Source organism: Homo sapiens, chromosome 1 (genome assembly GCF_000001405.40).
Source record: "Homo sapiens chromosome 1, GRCh38.p14 Primary Assembly".
Lineage (NCBI taxonomy): Eukaryota > Metazoa > Chordata > Mammalia > Primates > Hominidae > Homo > Homo sapiens.
This window is the reverse complement of record NC_000001.11, coordinates 50,946,001-50,960,539: the sequence shown is the minus strand read 5'-3', so window position 1 is coordinate 50,960,539 and position 14,539 is coordinate 50,946,001. Positions and strand designations below refer to the sequence as shown.

The window sequence follows — 14,539 nt, the reverse complement described above, 5'->3', positions numbered from 1 at the left end:
GTGACTAACCACGTGAGGTGCACAATCTGGTCCCCGCCTCAGCTAGGGGGAGGCGCTATCCTGAGGCCTTTGCTTAAATCCAAACTGGAATAACCTGTTGCGAGACTTGAAGCTTCCGCAGCTGCAGGTTGCAGTCTCTGCCGCCAGCGCAGAGATCCTGGCCGGGTAGTCGCGCGCTCAGCGCTTGACAGGAGGGTGGTCACGTGGAGCCGCAAAGCGGCGCTTTGCGACCTCGATGACAGGCAAAATGTGCGACAGCCGTGGCGCTGGCCAACCAGGGGCGGAGGCGGCGGCCAGGGAGGAAGCGGAGGAGGCGGAGGCGGCCGCGGCGTTCGCCCGCCCGCTCGCTCGCTCGGTTTCCCCGCCCCCGCCGGGCTTAACGCCGCTGAAGGTATCCGGGTGCGCGCTGTCGCAACCTGCCCTCATCCTGGCCCGCGACTGTAAGACCGGACCCACATCCAGACCAATCTTCCTGTCCGGGCTGCTGCGACGCGGGCTCCGCAGGTTGCAGGCGGGCGGCCGGGGCGCCTGAAGGTTACCGAGTGCATGAGCGCCTAGCGCTTCCCGCGCTGCCCCGCCCGCTGGCCCGCCGACCCGCCCGCCGGCTCGCCCGCCAGCCCCTCGGCGCCCGGCGGCGGCGGCGGCGGTGGCGGCGACGGTCGCAGGAGGTGCCGTCTGCCTCCCAGGTGCGCGCTTCGCTCCCGGAGCCGCGGAACTCGGCGGCCGCCATGGCGTCCAACATGGACCGGGAGATGATCCTGGCGGATTTTCAGGTGAAGTATCTGGCCCTCTTCCCCTCCCACTTCCAACCTCGTGGGTTTCCGGTGCCACAAGGGAGTCTTCTTCCCAGCGTTTGAACGCTGCAGTGGTGTGTCATTTAGGCTTTTATACGGTGCGTGGCGTGTGTGTGTGTGTGTGGCGAGCTATGGAGAAGCGTATAATTTATATGCTATCATGAGTGTGTAGAATGTGTTAAGTACGGGTTGAATGGGATTGGAGGTATTAATGACTTGGGTTACAATGTGTGTGGAATGTGTAGTGTTTCCTGTATTATATGGGGGGACGTGTAGAGTTTTTGTTTTAATTGGTGTTGGACCATTAAGTATGGGATGTTTTGGGTGGTTCTGTGGGGAGAGATGTATGGAGTGTGAGCGTGGAGCGTGTGGTGTTATGGGCGTGGTGTATTTATATTGTATTAAGGGAAGAGTAAAAAAGCAGAATGATGAGATGGCGAGGGCAATGACAATGGGGTACTGAGGTCCTTTTCAAAGAGGAGTAAACATTTGAGACTTTGCCTAATTGGAATCTTTGGAGGGTAAGAAGATAACAAGGAGACAGATAAGACTATATATTCCAGAGTATCTCTGCAATGAATTCACAAGCTTAATAAATTACCTATTCATATTTGCGGATTCCCCTCCCCTACAGACTTGAATTGCTTGGTTGGTGTCCTTTCTCCAGGAATACTTTAAAGGATAAGTAAAGGCTGTTCTCTTAATAAACCCAGTCGTAGTGCCACTGACATGTAAGTATCTTAGGAAGGCCCTTTGAAAGTAGAACTGTATGCATTGTGAAAGACTTGGAGCTAGAACTAATATCCTGTGAGTGCTACCTTTGCCTTTTGATGTTTGGTGAAGGAATTATTTTAGTGAGATATTTTTGGCCATTTTGGCATCAACTTAGAAGCTACTGTCAAGTATAGGCAGACTTTTCCCTCTTTTTTAATACTCACATTGCACAGGTTCTAACACTAGCTTAGTAGGCAGTATTTTTCCTTGCTGAAATTTTGTTGGGCTTTTCTCTCTCTCTGTTCTATTAAGTTCCTTATTTTTTTTAAAATTAATTAATTTTTTTTTTTTTTTGAGACGGAGTCTCGCTCTGTCGCCCAGGCTGGAGTGCAGTGGCGCGATCTCGGCTCATTGCAAGCTCCGCCTCCCAGGTTCACGCCATTCTCCTGCCTCAGCCTCCCGAGTAGCTGGGACTACAGGCGCCGGCCACCACGCCTGGCTAATATTTTTGTATTTTTAGTAGAGACAGGGTTTCGCCGTGTTAGTCAGGATGGTCTTGATCTCCTGACCTCGTGATCCACCCTCCTCGGCCTCCCAAAGTGCTGGGATTACAGGCGTGAGCCACACTGCTCCCGGCCCTTATTTTTACAAATTAACGTTCAGATAACCATTTTCAGAGTTTGCTGTTTTGGTTACCCAGTGAAATCTGATATACAGGTATTAGGAATATGCATATATCTACAGTTTGATTAAACCATAACCTCCAAACTAATAAAGGAGTGTCCTTATAATAAAAGTTGACCATAAGATTTTGATGTTTTGTAGGTTTAGGATTGGCCTGAGGCTTTTTGCCTGCCTACATTTTAAAAAATTTTTCAATTAATTAATTAATTAAATTTTTTAGAGATGGGCCTTGCCATGTTGCCCAGGCTGGTCTTGAACTCCTGGGCTCAAGTGATCTACCCACCTCAGGCTCCGAAAGTGTTGGGAATACAGGTGTAAGCTCCAACACCCAGCCCTGCCTAAGTTTTTCATCATCGTCTTTTTGTTTTGTTTTTGTTCTCCAGTTCCATTTTTTATCTAATGTGGAATGCACTGTTTGAAAAAGGACTCTATATTTCAAGGTGTAGTTTTACCGTGTTACAAAATTGTCTTCTGATTTCCCTCATTAAAAACTTTATAAAGTAATTATAACTTTGTTTTAATTTTACCTTTTTATCTCTAATAACTTGCATCTGCTTTCTATTTTTTGTGTGTGACAATTATTATGCTTAACTGTTAACCTTATATTGGCTAAAGGACAGGAAATTTAGGCTTCTTGTACTCAGGCAAAGCAAGATTTTCCAGGGATTTTGGTTTGGAAATGAAAATGAAAATTTCGGCCGGGCATGGTGGCTCAGGCCTGTAATCCCAGTACTTTGGGAGGCTGAGGGGGCGGATCACGAGGTCAGGAGATCAAGACCATCCTGGTGAACATGGCGAAACCCGGTCTCTACTAAAAAAATACAAAAAATTAGCCGGTCGAGGTGGCGGGCGCCTGTAGTCCCAGCTACTCGGGAGGCTGAGGCAGGAGAATGGCGTGAACCTGGGAGGCGGAGCTTGCAGCGAGCTGAGATTGCGCCACTGTACTCTAGCCTGGGCGACAGAGCGAGACTCTGTCTCAAAAAAAAAAAAAAAAAAAAAAGAAAATGAAAATTTCGATCCCATTAATAAGATGGGAATAAGTTTTTCTCTTCAGACCAATGGTAATGCTATACACAATTGTTTAAAAATGGGAAAAATAGAATGGCATCTGCAGTGAACAATTGTTTGCCTAATAATGTTAATTTTATATTGTCAAATAGGTAAAAGAATGTTATTGATAGAAGAAAAAATTATTTGGAAAACTACACACCTTAAACACATTAGCCATTTGTGTGTTTAGGAACCTGGAGTTCTCTTACAAATGATCGTCTTAGTAAAAAGTGATGATTCTTCCTGTTTTTTATATTATCTCAATTTTTATAGGATTGACTTAAAAGTAAGCATTTATTCAGTTATAAGAAAACCAGGTAATTTATTTATTTACTTATTTATTTTTTCTGAGATGGAGTTTCACTCTTGTTGCCCAGGCTGGAGTGCAATGGCATGATCTCGCCTCACTGCAACCTCCGCCTCTCGGGTTCAAGTGATTCTCCTGCCTCAGCCTACTGAGTAGCTGGGATTACAGGCATGTACCACCATGCCCAGCTAATTTTGTATTTTTAGTAGAGATGGGGTTTCTCCATGTTGGTTAGGCTGGTCTCGAACCCCCGACCTCAGGTGATCCACCTGCCTTGGCCTCCCAAAGTGCTGGGATTACAGGCATGAGCCACCGCACCCGGCTCAAATCATTTAATTTAAGGATTGCAGCTTAAGACTTGGCATACGGATACTTGGATGACACTGATTTCTTCTGTAACTGGGCAAATCAGTTTCCTCACCAAAAGTGAATATGGTAAAATTACATGTTTATATCATATGATTGTGAGACTCAATAATAGTTTGAGAGCTCAGTATTATCTTTGTAGGAAAGACATAATTTCCAAATTTGATTAGAATTTGAAAATAAATCACATTTTGATCATTGCTAGATACTGTGTCTAAATGTGGAAAAACCTTTGAGAAGGATTTTTGTATTTTTTTTTGACTATTTCAAGTCAATAGAGAAAAGAATTCTGTTGAAATCAGTGAAGTGGTGATAAGTAGTGGGTGGAAGATTACAGCTCAGACTTAATGGGATAGATTTGGAATATTATAGATGGGTGAATTTATTACAAAGCAAATATTACCCCAAATTGTCCTCTAAGAAAATCCTCCCCCAATCTGTTAATGAAAAAAAAATTGTGGTACAATCCTTATAAAATTTACCATTTTAGCCATTTTAAAGTCTTAATGCCAGTTCAGTGGCATTAAGTACATTCATTTTGCTTTGTTACTATCACTGCCATCCATCTCCAGAAAGCTTTTCATCTTGAAAATCTGTTACCGTACTTATTTAACAATAAGTCCTTATATCCCTCTCTCCTCAGCCCCTGGCAACCACCATCCTACTTTCTATCTCTGAATTCGACTCTTCTATTAATAGGTACCTCATATAAGTGGAACATAGAGTATTTGCCCTTTTTTGTGACTGGCTTATTTCACTTAGCATAATGTGCCCAAGAGTCATATATGTTAGCATGCGTCAGGATTTTATTTCTTTTAAAGGCTAAATAATGTTCCATTGTATGTATATACCATATTTTGCTTATTCTTTCACCTTCCATGGACATTTAGGTTGTTTCTACCTTGTAGGTACTGTGAATCATGCAGCCATAAACATTGGTGTTCAAATATATGTTCCAGCTTCTGCTTTCAATTCTTTTGCATATATACCCAGAAGTTAAATTGCTGGATCACATAGTCATTCTATTTTTAATTTTTTTGAGGAACTGTCATATTGTTTTCTATAGTGGCTGCACCACCAAAATTTTGAATGGAGAGAATGTCAGCATCCTGTTTAATAAATTATTTTAAAAATCAGCTCTGAGCAAATGAATTTAGAATTTGGAATATTTGACCAAAAATCAGTTTTACACGTACATAGTATGTTACTGATAAAGGAATGACTAGAGTAGTACACCTACAGTTCTTGCTGGCCAGAGCCAGGAGGGGGTGTAAAGGAATTTCCTGGGTTTAAAAAAGCAGGCAGCATTGATGAATCATGAAGTTCCCCCTACCTCCTTTAATGGTTTTGTAACAAAGAGATGCATTCAGGTGAAAGTTTCAAGTCTTTTTGTAACTATAGAATAACTGTTCTTTTTGTAATTGTAGAATTCTTTAACTTTTTTTTAGGCTGAAGTAGAGAACATGAATCATTTGGTCTGAAACTTTTGAGACCCTATTTGGTTTGCTTACATATGTGAAAATAGTTATCCAAATAATTGCGATTGCTATCAAATAATTTCAATAATATCAGTTACTTCTTTTGGTCTAGAGTCTTCTCCTCCTTAACCTCTTTCTTTTTGGCGAGACAGGGTCTCACTCTGTTACCCAGGCTGGAGTGCAATGGAGTGATCACTGCCCCTTTGAACTTCTGGGCTCAAGTGATCCTCTCACCTCAGCTTCCTGAGTAGGTGGGACTACAGATGTGTGCCACCAAGCCTGGCTAATTAAAAACAAATGTTTAAGCCAGGCATGGTGGCTCACACCTGTAATTTCAGCACCTTGGGAGGCCGAGGCAGGCGGATCACTTGAGGTCAGGAGTTCAAGACCAGCCTGGCCAAGATGGTGGAACCCTGCCTCTACTAAAAACACACACACAAATTAGCCGGGCATGGTGGCTGGTGTCTGTAATCCCAGCTGTGGGAGGCTGAGGCAGGAGAATCACTTGAACCTGGGAGGTGGAGGTTTCAGTGAGCCAAGATCATTTCACCTCACTCCAGCCTGGGTGACAGCGTAAGACTCTCTCAAAAAAAAAAAAAAAAAAAATCAAAATTTTTTATTTTTTTATTGTTTTAGAAACACAGGGTCTTGTTACGTTTTCCAGGCTGGTCTTGAACTCCTGGCCTTAAGTGATCCTTCTACCTCAGCCTCCAGAGTGCTGAGATTATAGGCATGAGCCAACACACCTGGCCTGGTGTTACCTGTTTTTCTATTTATTTTTCTCTGTTGCTGTTAATACAGAGGCAGACATCATAGCTGTACTCAAGTGAAGAAAGAAAAAGAACAACTCTCACTAGTAGTAATATTTTGTTTTAGACTTTCTGAGAAGCCCTTATCTGCCTTGCTAGAAAAGTATTCTTGGCCTGGCGTGGTGGCCTTTGGGAGGCTGAGGCAGGTGGATCACGAGGTCAGGAGATTGAGACCATCCTGGCTAACATGGTGAAACTCTGTCTCTACTAAAAAACAAAAAATTAGCTGGGCATGGTGGCGGGCACCTGTAGTCCCAGCTACTCGGGAGGCTGAGGCAGGAGAATGGCATAAACCCGGGAGGCAGAGCTTGCAGTGAGCCGAGATCGCGCCACTGCACTCCAGCCTGGGCGACAGAGGGAGACTCCGTCTCAAATAAAAAAAAAAAATGTATTCTTTCTGAATTTAGTTCCATTGGTCATAGATTAAGAGTCCCTTTATTTCTTCTCTAATTTGGCATTGATTTGATGTTATTTTCAGTTATGTTTTCTGTAACACACAAATGTGCTTTTGTTTTTCACCCCTAGTCTTTTCAGCTAGTAATACTTTTTGCTGCCTAAATTGCTTGATGAATTTTCTTTTCTTTCTTTTTTTTTGTTTGAGACAGAGTTTCGCTTTTGTTGCCCAGGCTGTAGTGCAGTGGCGTGATCTTGGCTCACTGCAACCTCTGCCTCCTGGGTTCAAGCGATTCTCCTCCCTCAGCCTCCCAAGTAGCTGGGATTACAGGCGAGAACCAACTACGCCTGGCTAATTTTTGTACTTTTAGTAGAAATGGGGTTTCGCCATCTTGGCCAGGCTGGTCCCAAACTCCTGACCTCAGTTGATCCACCCACTGTGGCTTCCCAAAGTGCTGGGATTACAGGCGCTGTGAGCCACTGCGTCTGGCCAAATTTTCTTTTTTTTCTTTTTTTAAAAATTTATTTATTTATTTATTTATTTTTATAGTATTTATTGATTATTCTTGGGTGTTTCTCGGAGAGGGGGATTTGGCAGGGTCATAGGACAATAGTGGAGGGAAGGTCAGCAGATAAACATGTGAACAAGGGTCTCTGGTTTTCCTAGGCAGAGGACCCTGGGGCCTTCCGCAGTGTTTGTGTCCCTGGGTACTTGAGATTAGGGAGTGGTGATGACTCTTAAGGAGCATGCTGCCTTCAAGCATCTGTTTAACAAAGCACATCTTGCACCGCCCTTAATCCATTTAACCCTGAGTGGACACAGCACATGTTTCAGAGAGCACGGGATTGGGGGTAAGGTTATAGATTAACAGCCTCCCAAGGCAGAAGAATTTTTCTTAGTACAGAACAAAATGGAGTCTCCTATGTCTACTTCTTTCTACACAGACACAGCAACAATCCCATCTCTCTTTCTTTTCCCCACATTTCCCCCTTTTCTATTCGACAAAACCGCCATCGTCATCATGGCCCGTTCTCAATGAGCTGTTGGGTATACCTCCCAGACGGGGTGGCGGCCGGGCAGAGGGGCTCCTCACTTCCCAGACGGGGCGGCTGCCGGGCGGAGGGGCTCCTCGCTTCCCAGACGGGGCGGCCGGGCAGAGATGCTCCTCACCTCCCAGACGGGGTGGCGGTCGGGCAGAGACGCTCCTCAGTTCCCAGACGGGGTGGCGGGGCAGAGGCGCTCCCCACATCTCAGACGATGGGCGGCCGGGCAGAGATGCTCCTCACTTCCTAGACGGGATGGCGGCCGGGAAGAGGCGCTCCTCACTTCCCAGACTGGGCGGCTGGGCAGAGGGGCTCCTCACATCCCAGACGATGGGTGGCCAGGCAGAGACGCTCCTCACTTCCCAGATGGAGTGGCGGCCAGGCAGAGGCTGCAATCTCGGCACTTTGGGAGGCCAAGGCAGGCGGCTGGGAGGTGGAGGTTGTAGCGAGCCGAGATCACGCCACTGCACTCCAGCCTGGGCAACATTGAGCACTGAGTGAGCGAGACTCCGTCTGCAATCTTGACACCTCGGGAGGCCGAGGCTGGCAGATCACTCGCGGTCAGGAGCTGGAAACCAGCCCGGCCAACACGGCGAAAACCCGTCTCCACCAAAAAGATACGAAAACCAGTCAGGCGTGGCGGCGCGCGCCTGCAATCCCAGGCACTCGGCAGGCTGAGGCAGGAGAATCAGGCAGGGAGGTTGCAGTGAGCCGAGATGGCGGCAGTCCAGTCCAGCCTCGGCTGGGCATCAGAGGGAGACTGTGGAAACGGGAGATGAGGGAGATGGAGACCGTAGAAAGGGGAGAGGGAGAGGGCCAAATTTTCTTATATTGGGTTATCACCATGGGTCTTTGAAACTTTGCATATGAGCTCCTCTTTGAAATATGGACTTTTCTGTTGCATACTGGTAAGTCACTTACGTTGAGTGACACATAAGTAGTTTCTGTCCGTTTATAATATTTTCTCTTTCTAAATGGAGTTGTGAATCCCACTTCTTTCTTTTTTAGTTTGACACAAAGAAATATTGTCTACAAAAGACAATACCAGACTGTGTGAGCAGAAATGGTATTGATCCAAACAGATATCTTTTGTGATGTTGCGGATTAGGGACCAAACTAAGTATCCATGGAACATCATATTTTTTCATTCCTGGGAGCAAGTAATCTTGTTACCTGTCCTTTCTTTCCTTTCTCCTCTGTCCTCTTTATTTATTAAAGAGACAAATCATGTTGTTTTAGTATTTGGGTTGTAGGTCATTGGGAAAATAAGGTTTTTGCATGTAGAATTAAATTTAATGGTTGGTGGTTAAGGACATGGACTTTGGATTCAGACCACTTGTATTTAAATCACAGCCCTACCACTGACTCTTCTGGTGATCTTTGACCAATCACCTCACACCCCTCTGCCTCAGTTTCCCCATATGAAAAATAAGATAGCACATGTAAAGTGATTAGAAAAGGTGTCTGACATAGAAAGTGTTCAATAAATTTTAGCTGTTATTTTTGACAGTTTTAAGGTATGTACTTGTTCTCTGTTGGGAACTTCAGAGATCATCTATTTGAAGCTTACCAGTTTTCCCTTTGTGGAAATTGAGACCCAGAAAAGAGAAATGACTTGTACAAGGTCATAGGTTGGTTTGAAACAAATTTTGTTTGTTTGTTCGTTTGAGACAGGGTCTCATTCGGCCACCCAGGCTGGAGTGCAGTGGCGTGATCTTGGCTCAGTGCAACCTCCATCTCCCCGGTTCAGGCAGTTCTCCTGCCTTAGCCTCCTGAGTAGCTGGGATTACAGGCGTGTGCCACCACATCCAGCTAACTTTTTAAATATTTTTAGTGGAGATGGGGTTTCACCATGTTGGCCAGTCTGGTCTCGAACTCCTGACCTCAAGTGGTCTGCCCGCCTCGGCCTCCCAAAGTGCTGGGATTTCAGGCATGAGTCACTTTGCCTGGCTGAAACAAATATTTTATCCAGGTACATATAAGAGTGTTCATTTTCCAGCTAATTTGTCAGCTTGGAGTTCTTGAAGAAAACAAAAACTGCTCTTTAGAAATTTCTACAAATGAGGAAACTTACGTATAAAATAAATTAGCAGTGCTTGGCTGTCATGTAGTAGATCTTCAGGAAGGAAGGAAGGAAGAGAAAGGTGGCACTTTGTCTATTCCTTGTTTACCATTTAGTGCCATGCTTCTGTGTTCACAGGTGTTCAGAAGCCTTGGAATGCACATAGTGTCTCTAGATTAGCTGAGTATGATAGAGTTGATGCCTGTTGTTTGCCTGACTGGTTTTATGGACCTTGTAGATCAGGGGTCAGCAAACTATATCTTGCAGGCCAGCTGCCTGTTTTTATAAATAAGGATTTATTGCAACACAGCCATACCCGTTCATTTACCTTTATCTGTGGTGGTTTTCTTGCTAGAGTGACAGAGATGAGTAGTTGAGACAGAGATTTTAATGGCCTTACAAGCCTAAAATATTTACTGTCTGGGCATTTAAGGTAAAGTTATTTCTCCGCTCCCCCCATGAAATCAGTACTTTTCTAGGTTTTAGTAAATTCAGAGGGCTGGAGTGTTTGAATGCCTGCTAGGTGGCAATATGTGGTTACACCTCCATAAGGGGCAGTTGTTAGAACATTGTACTTAGGTAGACTGGCTGTAGCTGTTGTCTTTTTGTTTTGTTTTAGGTTTTCTTAGCTGTGGTTCTTTGAGAAAGTCATTTGCCTTTTGTAGGCTTCATTTATTCAGTCTATAAAATGGTGATCTGGGACAGGTGTGGTGGCTCCCACCTGTATTCCCAGCACTTTGAGAAGAAGAGGCACGGGATCACTTGAGGCCAGGAGTTTGAGATCAGCTTGGGCAACATAACAAGATCGTGTCTCTACAAAAAAAAATAAATTTTTTTTTTTTAAATTAGCTGGGTGTGATAGCATGTGCTTGTAGTCCTAGCTACTCAGGAGGCTGAGGTAAGAGGATATGATTGCACCGCTGCACACCAGCCTGGGTGGGTGACAGAGAGACCCTGTCTCGAAAAAAAAAGAATGGTAATCTGTGTAGAGCTATATGTACCTGTAAGCAGAAGACTGGACTAGGTCAGGCCAAATAGAATCCAGAGAATCACTTGGCAGCCGTGGGACTGAGGACAATCAATTGTAATTCAGATAACTGACCTAGATTAGGGGTCAGAATATTACAGCCTGAGGGCCAAACCACCACCTTTTTTTGTAAATAAAGTCTTACTGGAATATAGTCGTGCACGTATGTTTACATGTTGTCTCTGGTTATTTTTGTCCTTAATAGCAGAGTTGAGTAGTTGACTGCATGTCCTGCAAAGCCTAAAATATTTACCCTGCTCCTTTTAGGAGAGTTTGCTGATCCTTGATCTAGATCAGTGGTTTTCAACCAAGGGTGATTTCTGTCCCCCAGGGGACATTGGGCAATGTCTGGAAACACTTTGGTTGTCACAGCTTCGGGCTGCTACTAGCATTTAGTGCACAGAAGCAAACGATGCTGCTACACATTCTATAATGCACAGGCATCGCCCGATAGTAAAGAATTTTCTGGCTCAAAATGTTGACAGTATTGGAGAATCCTGATTTAAACTAATGGTTCTCAAACTTTAGTTTGCATCAGAATAATTTGGAGGGCTTGTTAAACCACAGGTTGCTGGACCCCCACCTCAGAGTTTCTGACTCAGTGGGTCTGGTGTAGGGTCTGCAAATTTGCATGTTTTACCAGGTTTCCTGGTTATGCTGATGCTTCTGATCCAAGGACTACACTTGAGAATTGCTGAGCTAGATGACTTTTGAAATTCCGTCCATTCCTGTGATTCTTTGATTTTGTGATCTTAAGTACTGTTCCATTTCTGTGACTTAGCAAAACGTTTTATGACATGGTTTGGATGTTTGTCCCTTCCAAATCTTATATTGAAATGTGACCTCCAAAGTTGGAGGTGGGTCCTAGAGGTAGATATTGGATCATGGGGGTGGATCCCTCATAAATGGCTTAGCACCATCCCCTTGGTGATGAGTGAATTCTTGCTCAGTTAGTTCACGTGAGATCTGATTGTTTAAGAGTCTAGGGCCAAGTGTGGTGTCTCACACCTGTAATCTCAGCACTTTGGGAGGCCAAGGCCGGTGGATCACTTGAGGTCAGGAGTTTAAGACCAGCCTGGCCAACATGGTGAAACCCCATCTCTACTAAAAATACAGCTGGGTATGGTGGCGTGCACCTGTAGTCCCAGCTACTTGGGAGGCTGAGGCGTGAGAATCGCTTGAATCTGGGAGGCAGAGGTTGCAGTGAGCTGAAATCGCGTCACTGCACTCCAGCCTGGGCGACAGAGCAAGACTCTGCCTCAAAAAAAAAAAAAAAAGAAAAAGAAAAGAAAAAGAAATAAGAGTCTGAGATCTTCACCATTTTCTCTCTGTCTGGCTCCCTCTCTTGCCATGTGATAGTCTGGGTTGACTGTGAGAGGCTGTCTCCCGCTTTGCCTTACACCATGATTGTAAGCTCCTTGAGGCCCTCACCAGAAGCTAGCGGATGCTGGCACCATGCTTTCTGTATAGCTTGAGAACCATGAGCCAACAAACCTCTTTTCTGTATAAATTACCCAGCCTCAGATTTTTTTTATAGCAACACAAGAATGGACTAACAGAGTATATTTCAGTATACTGATGCTTGATGCTTAGGCTGTTTCATGACTTCACATTTTTGGATCCTTACTTTTCATGTTCCTTTGGAAAGTTTCTATTTCTCTTTCAAAAACCACCTCCTACCTTTTGCTTGTAACATTCATACCTTGTACCCAGTTAGGGTTAATAGTTTCTTTTCTATTTTGTACATCTCTCTTCTTTTGAGTCTTATGTTAGATTGTCAGTGATCAATTTACATGTTTCTTTCTCGTACTGTCAGCTCTGTTGGGGAAACAACTGTCTGGATCTTAACCATCTGTTCCTACAGTATCTAGTAAAAGGTGCTCAGTGACTATTTACTGAAGGAATATTCTTAGTTTAGGCTGTTATGGTACAAATGGAATAGAATTGTAAATGTTTATGTATTTTTGATATCTATCATTGACATGATTTTGAATAATAAAATCTGTCATTGAGAAAATAAAGATTTGACTAAATTGAGGGTTGTAACTTTAAAGTGATGCATATATAGAGAAGTACAAAACACTTCTGCTCTTGTTTAGCTTTTATTGAGGGGCTCAATAAGATGTGATAAAATATAGGCCTTGAGGCCAAGAACTTTGTAAAATTTGAATGCTGCTGCTGAATTTGCTGTTTTATTCACTCTTCCTGATTATAATTTCATTCTCAAATGGATTTTAAGGCATACATTTTATTTTCAAGTCAAAATTGTTCACCATGTTAAATCACTAGTCATTGACTTTAAGGTGAGTTTGAGTTAATTTCAAAAAGCAGTCTGGTAAAATTAACAGAATAATTACACCTGGCTTTATATTTACTTGTGGTTATGGGGGAATAATAGAGATAGGAAGAATGAGATGTCAGGTTGTGGTAAAGGAAGAAGGAGGAGTTTTCAGGTTATGTGCACCTTAATGGCTTTCAGGTGGGGTTTGAGTCACCTAGTTTTTCTCTTTGCAGTTCATCCAGGCTCCCTGGATTCTTTAATGATTGAACTATAATAGAAGAGTGTTAGTGAGAGGAAAGCTTCTTCTCTTTTGCCCTCCCCATCCTCTTTTTCCCTAAGGGAAGTAGTGGTTGAATTTGTTTTTTAAAATCAATTTTAGATGTATCCTTTCTTTAATAGGGAAAGAGTAATAGCAGTAACTTCTAGCTTTTGGTTACTTTGTATATGTCAGGTACTGTGCTAGGCTCTTAACATCTAATCTTTACAGTGATCTTTTATTGGGATATAGTGATATGGTTCTCCATGAATGATTTCTGTATATCTTCTCAGCAGAGGCACTGAATGCCTTTTTTTCCATCTTTCCAAAGATTTTTGTATTCCTAACAGCCTTGAAAGATAGAGATAATGTCTCCCTCTTGGGTGAAGGGAGGTAGGCATACTTTCCACTCTAAAAGATTTGGGTTCTTTAGGCTGTGAGTTCCTCTTCTGTATTGCATTCCACTGCATGTGCAGGTATCACTTGGTCTATTTTGTGTTGCCCTATAGGAAATGGGATTGGAGAACCAGCACAAGAACATGCTGATACTTTGACTACTAATATTGCTGTGAATCATAAAGTTCATTGTCTCTGACCTGGGAGTCAATGTCTTCTGCCAGCATCCACGAAACTGGCAGGCTAAGTTGTTAGCTTGCTAGCAGGATAAAACTCAGATCCTTTAGTTTTTAAGTTTTGGCAGCAAGGATGGATGTTGACAGACACGTGACATTCTGGAAGAAGAAAGATGAGGGTGTCTTCATAGGTTGGTTAACAGAATTTGAGGGAAGTCCTTGGGAATTGGTAGAAACATGTTGCCCAAATTAAGTGGTTCTCTACTTTATTGCCTATTAATGACGAGATATTGGGGAAGTGGTTACAGACTGAGTTCCAGGACATAGGTTCAAAGATAGCTGCCTGAACATTCCTCTGGTTGTTGCCAACTCTCCTTTGGGTGGGGAGGATATTTTTCACCAATCTGGAGGTCACCCTCAAATCCTCCCCAGTGTAACAACTTAGGGAGATTTGTCCTGATTGGGCAAAAGCTTCTGTTCCCTTTCAGACAAGACTTACAGATGTATGTGTACCTACACTGAGTGTGAAAGGAGGCAAATTTGTAACTTAACGTGGGCAGAAAAGAAAGTTGTTAGAATTTTGCTTTGCCTGAGAGATGGAGTGCATAATGTCTTATGGCTCAGCCCGTCCTCTGGAGGAAACTTTAGTTCCCACTTCACTGTCTGAAGCAAAGCCGTCAGCTCAGTGGGGTCATTAATTCA

The 14,539-nt window shown here is 43.6% G+C and overlaps 1 protein-coding gene across 3 annotated transcripts in view, besides 4 other annotated features; it reads left to right on the top strand.

Annotated features, from left to right (window-relative positions):
- FAF1 (Fas associated factor 1) overlaps positions 273-14,539 on the top strand; it is a 523,240-nt gene continuing 508,973 nt past the window's right edge. For 2 of the 3 annotated variants that reach the window (NM_007051.3, XM_047442745.1), the window contains exon 1: positions 273-773. In NM_007051.3, the coding sequence (NP_008982.1) occupies positions 729-773 (45 nt within the window). In that variant the 5' untranslated portion in view covers positions 273-728. Of the gene's footprint in view, positions 774-1,428; positions 1,526-14,539 lie in introns of all 3 variants that reach the window. The other variant, XM_047442743.1, reaches the window with a different exon arrangement.
- Positions 307-466: a silencer, noted in NCBI's record as "silent region_865". NCBI's record gives its function as "represses an Ori minimal core promoter by ATAC-STARR-seq in GM12878 lymphoblastoid cells {active_cell/tissue: GM12878}" and the evidence as "EXISTENCE:reporter gene assay evidence [ECO:0000049][PMID:35858748]".
- Positions 577-626: a silencer, noted in NCBI's record as "silent region_864". NCBI's record gives its function as "represses an Ori minimal core promoter by ATAC-STARR-seq in GM12878 lymphoblastoid cells {active_cell/tissue: GM12878}" and the evidence as "EXISTENCE:reporter gene assay evidence [ECO:0000049][PMID:35858748]".
- Positions 937-986: an enhancer, noted in NCBI's record as "active region_1012". NCBI's record gives its function as "activates an Ori minimal core promoter by ATAC-STARR-seq in GM12878 lymphoblastoid cells {active_cell/tissue: GM12878}" and the evidence as "EXISTENCE:reporter gene assay evidence [ECO:0000049][PMID:35858748]".
- Positions 7,313-7,887: an enhancer, noted in NCBI's record as "H3K27ac-H3K4me1 hESC enhancer chr1:51418325-51418899 (GRCh37/hg19 assembly coordinates)". NCBI's record gives its function as "activates a minimal SCP1, AML or CMV promoter by ChIP-STARR-seq in naive H9 embryonic stem cells {active_cell/tissue: H9 hESC(naive)}" and the evidence as "EXISTENCE:reporter gene assay evidence [ECO:0000049][PMID:30033119]".